At 54.1% G+C, this 13806-nt stretch overlaps 1 annotated feature.

Moving 5' to 3' along the window:
* Positions 1–797: an enhancer, noted in NCBI's record as "H3K4me1 hESC enhancer chr9:138189455-138190251 (GRCh37/hg19 assembly coordinates)". NCBI's record gives its function as "activates a minimal SCP1, AML or CMV promoter by ChIP-STARR-seq in naive H9 embryonic stem cells {active_cell/tissue: H9 hESC(naive)}" and the evidence as "EXISTENCE:reporter gene assay evidence [ECO:0000049][PMID:30033119]".

The following is a 13806-nucleotide window of genomic DNA, read 5'->3' on the forward strand; positions in this document are numbered from 1 at the left end:
GTGTGAAATCTGCAAATACCTCTGTGTTTTCCTCTTTTCCAGGGCATGGCCTCAGGTGAAACTCACACAGTCTTCTGGAAGCATGCCTGGGTTTTAGAGTACCCTGTTCCCTCCCAATACAGGCGTGAGGAGAGCAACACTCTCCGTCTCTAGCCCCTGGACTAGAACCTGGATCTGCTGACACCATTGGGGCCTGTCAGACACCTGCCAATCCTGACGTTGGATGAGAAAAGGCTGCTAAGACCACGGGGTCCCACCGGTGGAGACAGCCATGCCCACAGGTGGGAAGGGGCTTGCCAAGGCTACCAAGCAGATAGCAACGGCCGGGAGCCAGCGCAGTGCTGGCCTGGGTCCTGCACCTGCACATATAGTCACTCAGTAAACGTTGGCTGCATGAGTGAGTGAGTGAGTGAGTCTGGCTTTTCCATCTAGCACAAGGGAGGAAAATCTTTCCTCTACCCTCGGAGGTTCTGTGGCTGAGCCTGAGAATTAAACTGGCAAAAAGATTAACAGGAGAAGAGCGTACACGTTTGATTGATTTTTACAGGCACGCAGGACTCATATCAGAAAAATGAAGATGTGAAGAGGCAGTTAGGACCCTGGGCATGTAAACTTTTTTTTTTTTTTTTTAATTTACTCTTGAGACAGGGTCTCGCTCTGTCTTGCCCAGGCTGAAGTGCAGTGGCGCAATCTTGGCTCACTGCAGCCTCCACCTCCTGGGTTCAAGTGATTCTCCTGTCTCAGCCTCCCGAGTAGCTGGGATTACAGGCATCCGCCACCACGCCCGGCTTATGTTGTATTTTTAGTAGAGACAGGGTTTCACCATGTTGACCAGGCTGGTCTCGAACTCCTGACCTCAGGTGATCCACCCGCTTTAACCTTCCAAAGTGCTGGGATTACAGGCATGAGCCACCGCGCCCGGCCCGTATAAACTTTTTAAACAAAGAAGCAGTCAGTTTGTGGAGAAGAGGTTTGGGCTAAAGGCAGAAAGCTGTGGGTGCGTGACTGGGGGAGGCTAATGAAGGGAGGGCCGTGTCCACAGCTTTGTCTGTGCAAATCCACTTCTGTGTAGACTCCTGGTCTACACAACATGTTCCTCTCTTCCTGGCACAGGAAGGGCACCTTTCTCATAGGAGATTTTGTGACCTGTTTTAGGTAGAAAGAGGGAGGCCAGAGAGCCTGCCCTGCATGTGGCGCTCCTCCTCAGGTGCCTTTGGTTGGAACTTTTCTGTCTGCCCAAGCGGCGTGCTTTGGGGCAGTGTGTTTTGAAATCCTTCACTGGTACCACCATCTTATGGGGCGAAAGTTCGGGAGGACTTGGCCGGGCAGTTCCCACAGGGGGTTCTGTCAGGGCTTGGCAGGGCCGCCGTCTAGAGGCTCCACGGAGCTGAGCCCGTCCACGATCCCTGGGGAAAATCCACGTGGCTCCCAGGCTGGCCATCTGAGGACAGTGGGACTTCTTATGGGGCAGAGTGAGTGTCCCCAAAGTGGGGGAAGCTGCAGGGCCTCCGGAACGAGCCTATGTGTTCACCACATCCGTTGGTGACAGCAAGTCACAGGTCAGAGCGTGGGGAAGACGCAGACCCTGCCTCTCAATGGGGACAGGTCAGCCTAGAAGAGCCTCTGGCCCTGCCACCTGCCTGCCCCATAGTCTGTTTTGTTTTCTTCACAGCATTTATTCAGATTGAAAGTGAGTGAAGGAGTTCAGGACACACCACCCCAGAAGATGCTGCTTGGCGCGTTGATTAGCTGAACAACGGCAGATGCAGAGAACAGCGCTCCTGAGGGCCCCTCCCCTGCCCAGAGACGGAGCCTCCGAGAGCAGGAGAATCTCATCAACCAGGAGGATGAGCCCAGGCTCCCAGGAGAAAAGGCTAGTGGTCGACGCCACACCCAGAAAGTCTTGTTCACAGACGATCACCTGTTCCGAGGGCCCATTCATCTTTCCCAAAGGTCATTTCCTGCCCCCCAAGTTGCCTATATCCCCACCCCTCCTCAATGAAGCCGGGGTGTTTGCAGCACTCGCTTTTCTTTCCTGTGATGCCATGTGCAAGTGACACCTTGAGAACATTTTCTGCTATTCATCAGCCCATGGTCGGCTGTGGAGCCCTCAGAGGGTGGCAGAAGTGTCTCTCCACCCCATGCCAGCTGCACTACCGTGTCTGTGCCACCTCCCCAGGCAGAGCCCACATGGCGAGGCCAGCCCTGCACGGAGGGGGCACTCAGCACACGTGGCGAGAGCGTGACTGGTTAGTGAGCACAGCACCTTCGAGGCCAAAGGCACAGCATGAGAGGCAGGGTGGGTGCCTCTGCCCCTCAGAGACAGTTCCCGTGAGGCAGGGCAGGCACCTGTGCCCCTCAGAGACAGCTCCCATGAGGCAGGGCGGGCACCTGTGCCCTTCAGAGACAGCTCCCATGAGGCAGGACGGGCACCTGTGCCCTTCAGAGACAGCTCCCATGAGGCAGGGCGGGCACCTGTGCCCTTCAGAGACAGCTCCTCTGAGGCAGGGCGGGCACCTGTGCTGCTCAAGGACAGCTCCTCTGATGCCCAGGCTGCTGGGTCTTGTGGGATGTATAGGGGTCCGCCAGGCAGAGGAGAATGGTTCTTGTAGAGCGCTCCAGGCTCTCTCTCCCCACCCAGCTCCAGAAGGAGCAAGAGCCGGAGCAAACAAAGCTCCAGCCTCCTGGGCTGGTTGATGTGGGCTCAGTGCAGAGAAGGGGAGGACATCATTCATTCAGTCAGTCATTCATTCACCCACTCGCCCAGTGAGTGCCAAGCACCCTTGGGCACTCAGCACCATGCTGGCAGCGGGACAGTCAATGGGAGCGAGGCAGACGTCCCTGCCTGGATCATCAGGAACGAGTCCCACGGGGCGGCTGTGAGGTAGGAGGAGGCGGTGTGCCAGGGATGAGGATGTCTGCGAAGGGAAGGCTCTCTCTGGCTGACCCTGAATGAAAGGCATGTGGAGGGGGAGGGGACAAGGTGGGTGCCAGGGGACGTTCCTGCGGAGGGAGCACCCGCAGAAAAGCCCCAGAATCAGGGCAGGGCATCTTCCCTGAAAGCTGGGGCTCCTCCCTGTCCCAGAGACCTGCTGTCCCCACTCACAGTCCCCCCACTGACTGCAACGGGTGAGGCTCACCCTGGCGTGGGGCCCAATGCTTAGGAAGATGCCCAGATGGAGGGCTTGGGGCTGGGCGCCCTGGGTGAGGGGAGGCTGGGAGAAGCATTTCCTGGCTGGAATTGGCACCACCCGCAGGTGTGGGCAGACGCTCAAGGCGGAGGCTCCACCCATGCCTGGTTTCTTTCCTTTCTCCCTCTCCCTGTGTCTCCAGGTGTCTGCCACCTCCTCAGGGAGCCATGGGGCGTGAGCTAGATCAGGGCCCTGCGTCTCGAAGGAGGAGGAGAATCAGCTGAGTGAGCAGCTAATCCACCCAGCCTCCAGCTGTCTCAAACAGCAGCCCCCAGTCAGAATGGGAGACTCTGCCTCAAGTCAAAAGTCCCAAAGAAGCCCACACTCCACCCTGGCTGGTGTGTATAAAGTAAAAATCCAAAATCCGGGTCCCTGAGCAAAGTTGCCAGCTAGAGTCCCCCTGTGGAAGGCAAGAAATCAACGAGACTTCCTGGTCACTCTGCACCGTGGGGCAGCTTCTTCAACTCTGTGCAGCTAGAGGTGAGAGAGTCCCAGGGGCGGGTCCTCGAGCTCAAACTGCCCCTCTCCCCCTCCACCGCCTCCTGCACCTGCCCCTGCCCCTGACCTGAGCCCCTGAGATCAGTCACCACCTCAGACCCTGAGGCAGGTTGGCAGGGGTGACTTCCTGGAGCCGGGTATGTCCCATCAGAAAACACTGCTTTGGGGAACTCTCCAGGGTTCAGAGATCTCCCAGCTCAACGCAATGCCCACCTTCTTGGGCTCCCACATGGGACTGCCCCGGGAGGCCCTGTGAGGTCGTGGCGCTGCACGGCCGTGGGCATAGAGACCTGCATTCTGGTTCTTTCCTGGGTAAAGCAGGGAAGTGACCTCTAGTCTCCCGGGACGATAGGAGGCGGAGGGGGGCGGTACAGGGCACGGCGGGTACTGGATGTGTTGGTTGAATGAAAAGTCGAGGTGAGGAGTGAGGCCACTGACTGTGTGAATTCTCAGGGCCGCTCACGACAGGCAGAATTCCCGAATCAGGCTTCTCGGACCCTGACGACACCACAGGAGCTCACGGCCTGTTGGGCGGGAGCGTGGGGCCTGTTGGTCACTGTTGGGCGGGAGCGTGGGGCCGGCTCACTATGCCTCGCTGGGTTGGAAGATATGCACACCAGCTGCCGTCTCAAACACGTCCGGGGAGCCCGACCAGCTGCACGTGGAATCCACCAGGCCTCCTGCTCCTCCCCACAGGACTGCTTCGGTGGGAGCCTCACCTGCTGGCCCCTGTGCTCCCCTCAGACACGGAGCAGGTGGCAGGCCTGGCACTCCTTCCTCTCTGGGGGCAGAGGCAGGGTCCAGGTTCCCCCACTCCACGCAGAACTGGGTGGTCAGGGTCTCCCCGGGGAGCACTGAGGAGGGGCCCTCACCCTCCTGGGGGCTCAGGGCAAGGTCTCCAGATAAGTCAGCTCTCAGTGGAGACCCCGCCCATCAGCAGCATTAGCCTGAATCAAAATAGTCGGTCCCTCAATGAAGGCAATGGCATCTCAGAGCCAGCAAAGGCAGCCGCCAACATCTTCATTTCTCGTGATTGTGAACGTCAATCCTGTCCCCTCCCCTCCACTCCCTGTCGGACGTGGTTGTCCTGAAGCCTTGGCAAGCCGGCCGCCCACTCTGCTGCCACCCAGAGCAGAGGAACACCTGGAATCCCTGCTCAGACTCCGGACTCAGGGGCCTCCTCTCCTCTCTTCTCTACATCTGTGCCTGGTGGGCAAGCACCCTCAGCGGGAACACAACATCCCTCAGCCACAGATGAGCAAATGTCCCAAAGATAGGAGGGCAGGGGGCTCTGGCAAGGCAGCTGGGCTCCCCTCACACCAGTCCTGGAGCTGGCACTTGGGGTCTGCAGGGGCCATTCCTTGTGGGGACTGGGCTGGACCTGCTGCTAGGAGCCCGACACCCCAGCAATGAATGAAAAGCTGTACAAATGGAGCACCCTGTTGCCTGGCCATTGCACTTCACGAACGTGTGTCCTGAGGATCTAATGCTACAGGGACCCAAAGATGTTCATCTCAGCAGTGACCGAGTGAAAGCCCTGAAGCTGCTTATGCAGGGGCTGATGACGCTGATTAGGACTCAGCACCCGAAGAAGCCCTCACCCAGCTGACGTGGCTCCACCACCTCAGCTGTCCCCAGGGAAAGGTGCCCCGAACGGTGCTCCCAGACAAGCAGGTCGCAGACACACACAGAAGCCGGGAAGGTTGGCGTGAACCAGGAAGGATGATGAGATGCTAACTGATGCCCTCATCTAGATCATGTTTTACTTCCTAATCTTCCAAGAGTGGGCGTGTCGTACTCGAGGGAAAAGAAGTAGGATGTTCCCGGACACACACTCACTCTCAGATGCCCCCCGCTCCAGCAAGTTCTCATGGTGCCGGGAGCTGGACCGGTGGGGCTCCAAGCCATGTCTGGCCCTCACGGCAGGGAGCGCCCTGGCCTTCTGCAGCTCTAGCCTGGGGAGTGGGACCATTTCCCCTCCATCCAAGGCTGTTTTGAGGGTCAGGTGAGGACGGACTGGGGAAAGGATATTACCGACTGCAAATTGCTGTTTAAAAGGATATAACTATTACTGTTGCCTTTGTCTGCAGAACACAAAGTGAAACAGAAACCACAGCCCTGCCTGTCTGGATACAATCAGCTCTGCACCTAAAATCTCAGCCCCTCCCACCTCCTCACTCTTCCCACGCACATGCCCAGACACTCAGGATCCAACTCTGTGTTTTAGCCTAAATGGGCTGAAATTTCCTGATTGGCCCTGGCTCCCCTCACATGAATTTATTGGAAGTCAATTGCTAATAACTTTCCAATTATATATTTTAAAATCCCCAGTCCCTCAGACAGCCCACATGAGATTGAATGGGAGGTGGGAGGTGTGTTAGGCGGCGGCTACTCACCTTTCCCCATGCAGCCTCTTTCTAACCACACCTGTGCCCAGTCCTCCCAATATTTCCCTGCATCTATTGTGTCCCCTGCCAACACCTTAGGGGCACACAGGCATGCACGCACACACACACACACACACACCCCTCCAAATCCCATGAACACAACAAATCGTCTCCTATACACCCTTGTGTGGAATTAGCACAGCCTGACATTTGGAAGGCTGGATGGATGGATAAATGGAGGGTGGATGGAAGGATGGATGGTTGGTAAGATGGAAGAAAATGGATTAGATGGATGAGTGAATGGTTGGATGGTGGGTGGGTAGATAAATGAAGGGTAGATGGATGAGTGGATGAATGGATGGTAGGTGGATAGGTGGATGGATGGATGGATGGATGGATGGATGGATGAATGGATAGACAGATGATGGAGGGTTGGTGGATGGATGGTGGATTAGTGGATGGATGGATGGATGGATGGATGGATGGATGGATGGTAGATGAGTGGACAGATGGATGGATGTTGGTTGAGTGGATGGATGGATGATGGAGGGTGAGTGGATGGATGGATGGCAGATGGATGGATGGATGGTGGATGAGTGGATAGATGATGATGGAGGGTGGGTGGACAGATGGATGGATGGATGGTGGATGAGTGGATAGATGGATGATGGAGGGTAGGTGGATGGATGGATGGATGGTGGATGAGTGGATAGATGAATGATGGAGGGTGGGTGGATGGATGGATGGTAGATGAATGGATAGATGGATGATGGAGGGTGGGTGGATGGATGGATGGATGGATGGTGGTTGAGTGGATGGATGGATGATGGAGGGTGGGTGGATGGATGGATGGATGGTGGATGAGTGGATGGATGGATGATGGAGGGTGAGTGGAGGGATGGAGGGCTGATGGATGGATGGATGGTGGATGAGTGGATAGATGGATGGATGGATGGTGGATGAGTGGATAGATGGATGATGGAGGGTGTGTGGATGGGTGGATGGATGGTGGATGAGTGGATGGATGGATGACAGAAAGTGGATTGCGTGCACTAGACATATTCTGTCCTAGGCCTTCTCAAAGAGTATGTTGTCTGCAGGGTTAGAAGCCTTCAAAATTCCTCACAACAAGAACTAGACGACAGTTAGGGCACTGCCTCATCAGCCTTTGCCTTTGGCCACAGGAGCAGCAGTAGGTTTCTTATCCTGACATCTCTGTTATCTCCTTTTGAGTCAGAGATGCCCCCGGCAATTACAGAAGACCCCCCTTGCTGTTGTGTACCCATCAAAACAGATGGTCTGGGCAAGCCAAGTGGAAAGGCCTGTTTGAGGGCTCACAGCTCTGCTCTCATGGGCTATGATGGCTGGGCCTTCAGGTGCAAACCCTGCATTGTGAGAGGCCACCAAGGGCCAGTGCCAGAGGCTCTTCCTGGGAGAATGGCGTGCAGACCCTTGAGCTACCCATTCCCCACTGTCACAGCTGCTTTTCAGCGGGGTTGGGAGGAAGAACTGGTGTTCCCCAAGCTTTGGTGGGCCAAGGAAGCAAGGACCTGCCCCTTAGGACCTTGGGCCCATCTCCCCTCTTTTACTGTGTGCACTGGTGAATTTCGTGCCATCTTGGAACCATTATTTCCCCCTGGAAGCTCATCTCCGACTGGCTGCTAGGAGAAAGTGTGGTCCCATAAGCAAATATGTGCTTTACATTCAGGTGCATTTTTGTCTTGTTTTTTGAGCCCCCCAAATGTGCAGCAGCGTCTTCTCTTTGGAGAAGCCAAAAGCTCTTTCTCCTCAATCCGTGAATTCTGGGCCCGCTTTGAGAGGAGCTGATTAAAGCAGGAGCCAGAGGAAGTCTGAGAGTGCGGCTGTCTCACGAGGAGCAGCCCAGAGGCCCCACCGGGAGTGGCCTCCTTCCCAGAGGCTCTCCCAGGCTCCACGGGGGTCTTTTACTCAGCTCCGAAAGTCAGTGCATCTTGGAATTTCTTTTAAACAACTTAGATCCTGGCCCGTGGCAAAGAAAGGCAAGCTTTCCTTCCCCATGGCTCCTCAGGCCCCTCCTGCTCCTTGGCAGCCTGGCTCAGCTTTCTGGATTTGCAGAATGTTGAATGGACAGGACCAGAATGGGTCTGAGCGGGAGAGTAGCGAGAGGGAGAAGGGGAACCCATTCCTGAGCCCCATTTCCATGGATCTAGGCTCCATCCTCAGCACGTGGCCCCTAGGGGCACAGGTGACTTGGGGGAGCCTCCATCTCAGGAGAAGCTCTAGAGCCCTCTGCCCTTTCGGCCACTGGACAGTCCACTCCGACAGACAGAGGGACAGACCGGCTGGCCAGCATCCAGGTGGCCTAAGGTGAGTGGGGTCCTAACAGGGCCCTCCCTGTGATGCTGGGCTTCTGTTGAGATCCGTGTTCTTTCTCTTCCTCCCTCCCTCCCTCCCTTACCCCCTCTCTCCCTTCTTCCCTCCCTCCCCTTCCTCCCTCCCTTCTTCCCTCCCTCCCTCCCTTCCTCCCTCCCTTCTTCCCTCTCTCCCTTCCCCCTCCCTCCCTTCCTCCCTCCCTCCCTTCCCCCTCCCTTCCTCCTTTCCTTTCCTCCTCCCTCCCTTCCTTTCTTCCTCCCTTCCTTCCTTTCTTTCCTTCTTTTCTTCCTTTCCTTCCTTCTTTCCTTCCTTTTTTGGAACTTGTAATTTTATTTATTTGGAATTTTTTGATAGAATTCCAAGCTTACAGAAAAGTTACCAGAATAACACAAGGAACTCCCATATACGTTTTTGCTGCATTGATTTCAGTATTTGTTCTATCTCTTTCTCTCTCTCTCTCTCTCTCTCTCTCTCTCTCTCTCTCTCTCAACAAGTATCTATGATTTTCCTCTGAACCATTTGAAAGTAACTCAATGCCTCTCTACCCCTGGCCCCAAAACACTTTTGTGCATATTTCTCAGGACAAGGAGATTTTCTTCCATAACCACTCACACAGTTAGGGAAATCAGGGGATCTTACGTTCTCGTCAAATCCACAGCCATGTCAGACATCTGCCGTGGTCGCAATAATGTCCTTCATGGCTTTGGTTTCCTTTGAGTCCGGGATCCAGTTTTGGATCCCACACTGCATTTGGTGGCCATGGCTCCTAAATCCTCTTAGTCTGGGCAGCCCTCGCTGTGTCTTTGTCTTTTGTGTGACATTTGGCATTTCTGAGGAGCACAGGCCAGTTCAGTTCCTCCGCAGAATGTCCGTCCCTCGGTCTTGGCCGTTGCGCCCTCACAACCAAACATGGGTTCTGCATTTCAGGCAGGAAAATCCCAGCAGTGACGTCGTGTCCTTGTGGGCGGTCTCACTGGGAGGCTGACTGTGTCCCTCTGTCCCAACCCTGAGATCCCCTGGATTGGATCCCCAACCAGACCCCAACTCTCAGTTCAGTTCCCACCTTCCCTCCCTGCAGGTAACCAGTCCCATGGCTTCTGATTTATCCCCAGGGGTTTTCCTTCCTCCTCTTCCTCCCCCAGCTCCTCCTTCTCTTCTTCCTTCTTTTCTTCCTCTCCTTTCAAAAATAACTAAATACATACATGCACGCTTTCTTAGTTCTCTTCCATTACTACCCAAACGTAGCAACACACAGAAGCACACACACACTTCAGTTTGCAGGCTTTCACTCCCTTCCTCTCATGGAGCTCTTCTCCCCCTTTGCTAAGCTGTGTAGAGTGCTGTGTACATGCACAGAGTTTATTCACGTTCCCCTACGTGTGCGCATTTCGATGGATATTGCAGATATGAAAAACCCTGTGAATAAGCACGTTAGCGTTGTCAGAGGCATTACCCCAGGGTAAATTCCTAGAGGCAGGATTGCTGGTCGGGGCCAGCACCAAGCAGCTGTGTTCAGTGCTGAATACCCTCTGCCAGGATGAGATCATTTCAACTTCCCACCAGCTACATGTTGCCAACTTCGTAAGATCTGCCAATCAAATGGGTGCTAATGGCAGCTCCCTGAGTTTAATGTTACATTTCACAAAAATCCTTTGGACAGCTTTTCATTCTTATTTTGTCCTTCCTAATAAGGTCACTTGGCCTCACTTGGAGCCTCTTCATAGAATAAGGAACCTCACACACCTCTTCATAGAATAAGGAGCCTCACCCATATTTCTTTTTCTTTCTTTCTTTCTTTTTTTTTTTTTTTTTTTTTGAGACAGAGTCTTGCTCTGTCACCCAGACTGGAGTATAGTGGCGCGATCTCAGCTCACTGCAACCTCCATCTCGCAGGTTCAAGTGATTTTCCTGCCTCAGCCTACTGAGTAGCTGGGACTACAGGTGCATGCCACCACGCCCGGCTAATTTTTGTATTTTAAGTAGAGACAGGGTTTCACCATGTTTGCCAGGCTGGTCTGAAACTCCTGACCTCAAGTGATCCGCCCGCCTCAGCCTCCCAAAGGGCTGGGATTACAGGCATGAGCCATCGCTCGTGCCCGGCCCCTCACATGTGTTTCATAGCAACAGTGGCAACACTTACTGGGCCCCGAGGGCAAGGCCTTGTGCAGGGCACTTTGCAAACATGATCTCATTTGCTTATTTCATTTTTGTTTTCTTTGAGACAGAGTCTCGCTCTGTCACCCAGGATGGAGTGCAGTGGTGCAGTCTTGTCTCACTGCAACCTCTGCCTCCCGGGTTCAAGCAATTCTCCTGCCTCAGCCTCTCGAGTAGCTGGGATTACAGGTGTGTGCCACTGCACCCGGCTACTTTTTTTTTTTTTTTTCGTAGAGACAGGGTTTCACCATGTTGGTCAGGCTGGTCTTGAACTCCTGATCTCAAGCAATCCACCTGCCTCGGCCTCCCAAAGTGCTGGGATTGCAGGTGTGAGCCACTGCATCCAGCCAGTTGTTTCATTTTACAGACAAGGGCTGAGAGCCCAGCGCAGAGCCAGGAGAACCCAGGGCCGTCTGACTCGGAAGCAGCGCTCCTACAAATACCCTCCCCTACCAGGTGTCCAGACCCTTCTCCTAGAGGAGGCACTGGAGCTGAGAGGCTCCCTAAAGAGCAGGCTGGTGCCAGCAGCTTTTCCTAATTGCATGGCTTATGTCCCAGGTTAATCCAAGGTGCTGGGATCCACGGCTGCCTCATCAGGGACCCCGGCCCTCTGCTCTCCTACAAAGCCCCTGACAACGCTTTCGAATATGAAATGTTTCCAGTATTCAAGAATTAACACAGGAGGCACCCATGCACCCACCACCCAGATTTGACAGATGCTAACATTTTGCCGTATGTTCCAGAACTGCCTCTCTTAGGAAATAAATGAAGCAGAAGACACAGCTGAGCCTCCGGCAGCACCTGCCGCTTCCTTCCTCCTCCGCGCTCTCCGAAGGAACGGCTCTCCTGGATTTGTATTTCTCATTCCTGCGAGTGCTTTACATTCTCCCTGCGTGTGTGAGAACAGTGCCCAGTGTCACCTGCTCTGGGAGCTTTGCCGTGTGCATAGGTGGCCTTGTGGTGACTCTGTCCTCAGCAGCCTGCTGCGTTCACGAGGGAGTGTCCTGTTGGGCCTGGGGCCCTCACTCACTCATTCCCACCACTGTCCAGTGGCTGTCCACAAACAGACCACCACTCCCTTGTCCCTTCTGTTTCTAGGACAAGGAGGCTGTGCCCAGCGATTCGTGGTCATGACAGTGAAGGCCTGGGTGGACAGCCTTGAGCAGCTCTGCCTGTGGGACGGCTCTGCTCGTGGAATGGCTCTGCCCAGGGGACAGCTCTGCCTCTGGGTGGGGTCTGCCCGGGGGACAGCTCTGCCCGGGGGACAGCTCTGCCTGAGAGCTTGCCCGCAGGTGGGAAAGGGCCCAGCTGGGAATGAACGCACTTCAGCTCCACTAGTTCCACCAAACTGCTCTCGGAGAGTGTTGTGCCGAGGCACCCTCCCCAGCAGTGCGTGCCACATCCTTGGATGACATCCAAGCTTCTTCGGCCCACCTGAAGACATCCCTGTTGTTCCCACCCGCCTTGCCCTTCTCTGAGCCCGCCATCTCCGCACATCCCTTTGGGTCACACTGGCTTCTTCAAGCACTTTCTGTTCTACTCGGGATTCCAGCAGGGACACAAACTAGGCAACTGAGGATGATTGACAATGCTGGAGGGAAGGGCATGGGGAAAGAACATGGAGGAGTGCAGCCCTCCAGCATGACCGCTCCAGAACTGGAGGGCAGGGAGGGTGTGATGGGGCGCCGTCCTGCAGAGGGACACAGCCTGCCTGCATCCAGCGCATCCAGCCGCGGGGACAAAGCCACACACTGGCCCAGGCTGGGTGACCCTTGGGGGCTGTTGATGGGCCCTTTGCCCTGAAGCAAGAGGCGCAGGGGGCCCAAGAGAAGTGTGTGCTGCAGACCAGTGCCCCGGGACCCAGGGCAGGGAGGAAGAGCTGCAGCGGGAACTGGTGGGGGAACGGAAGACCCCCCCAGCAGCCATCTTTTGTCGGGGAGCACGGGCCAGAGGCTCCTGCACCAGGTCCTGGCTGTGGCCATGGGCTAAACCTTTCTGAGTCTCAGCTTTTTCAAAGATAAACACAGCCAGACATCAGTTGAATTGGTGGAAACAGATTTTATTCCATAATTGCCAACGGTGGTGGGAGCAGCGCTTGGTTCTGATTCGTGCGCAGAGGTGATTGTGCCTTCTAAAGGGAGGCTGGGAGTGGCGCAGAGCTCAGTAGACTCAAAGGAGGGGAAACTGGCAAAGGGCCCGTGGGTGTGAGTGTAATGGGGCAGTGCTATCTGTGTCTGGCAATTCTCCGGGTGAGACTGGGAGCCAGAGGCACATCCTTCCTGGTCAGGACGTAGAGGTGTGGCCCCCCAGGTCCTGGAGTTTGCAGGAGACACAGGCACAAGCAGGAGTCCCGTGCAGTAAAAGTTCTAAGAAAAGGTAGCCGGCTGCTGACCAGAACACACAACAAATTCTCCCGCAGCACTGAGATCTCAGGCAAAAAGTGTTACTGGAGATAAAAAGGACCGTATCTGCAACAGAATGTTAATTCCCCAAGAAGCAATGACAATTCTGCACTTGTACGATGGGCACACACTCCATGAAGTGAGAACAGACAAAACTACAAGGAGAAAGAGACTAACCCTCCAGCGAGGGGGAGACATTATCACACCTCTCTCGTCGTTGACAGATCAAGCACATCAAAAAATCAGTGGGGACCCCGAAGGTTTCCATAACACAATTAACAAGCACAATCTAATGGACAGTTAAAACTAGCACCTGAAACTTCAGAGTACACACATCTTTTCCAGCACAACAAGAAATGCTTTTTAAAAATTGATGACACACTGAGCTAGAAACAAGTCTCAAGAAATAGAAGAGATTTAAAAACACGCAGACCACAGTCTCCGAGCACAAAGCAATTAGACTACAATCAGTGACAAAAGAGAAGCTAGAAAATGCTATGTTGGGAAATCAAGAAAATTCTAAATAACTCATCACTTGAGAAGGCATCAAAATGGAAATTAGAACATATTTAGTACTGAAAGGTAATAAAAATATGTATGTCAAAACTGAGAAATCCAGCTAAAATGATATGTACAAGGAAATTTGTAGTGCTAAACAATTATTTTAGAAAAGAAGAAAAGCTAAAAATGTGTGAACTAAGCATCTATCTAAAAAATTAGCAAGAAAACAAAAAACTAAAATAAATGTAGCAGAAATTAAATGTTAAATAAAATAGAAAAACAGTCACCAGAGAGCATCAACAAAACCAAAACCAGTTCATA

Source organism: Homo sapiens, chromosome 9 (assembly GCF_000001405.40).
Source record: "Homo sapiens chromosome 9, GRCh38.p14 Primary Assembly".
In the NCBI taxonomy this organism is placed as follows: Eukaryota; Metazoa; Chordata; class Mammalia; order Primates; family Hominidae; genus Homo; species Homo sapiens.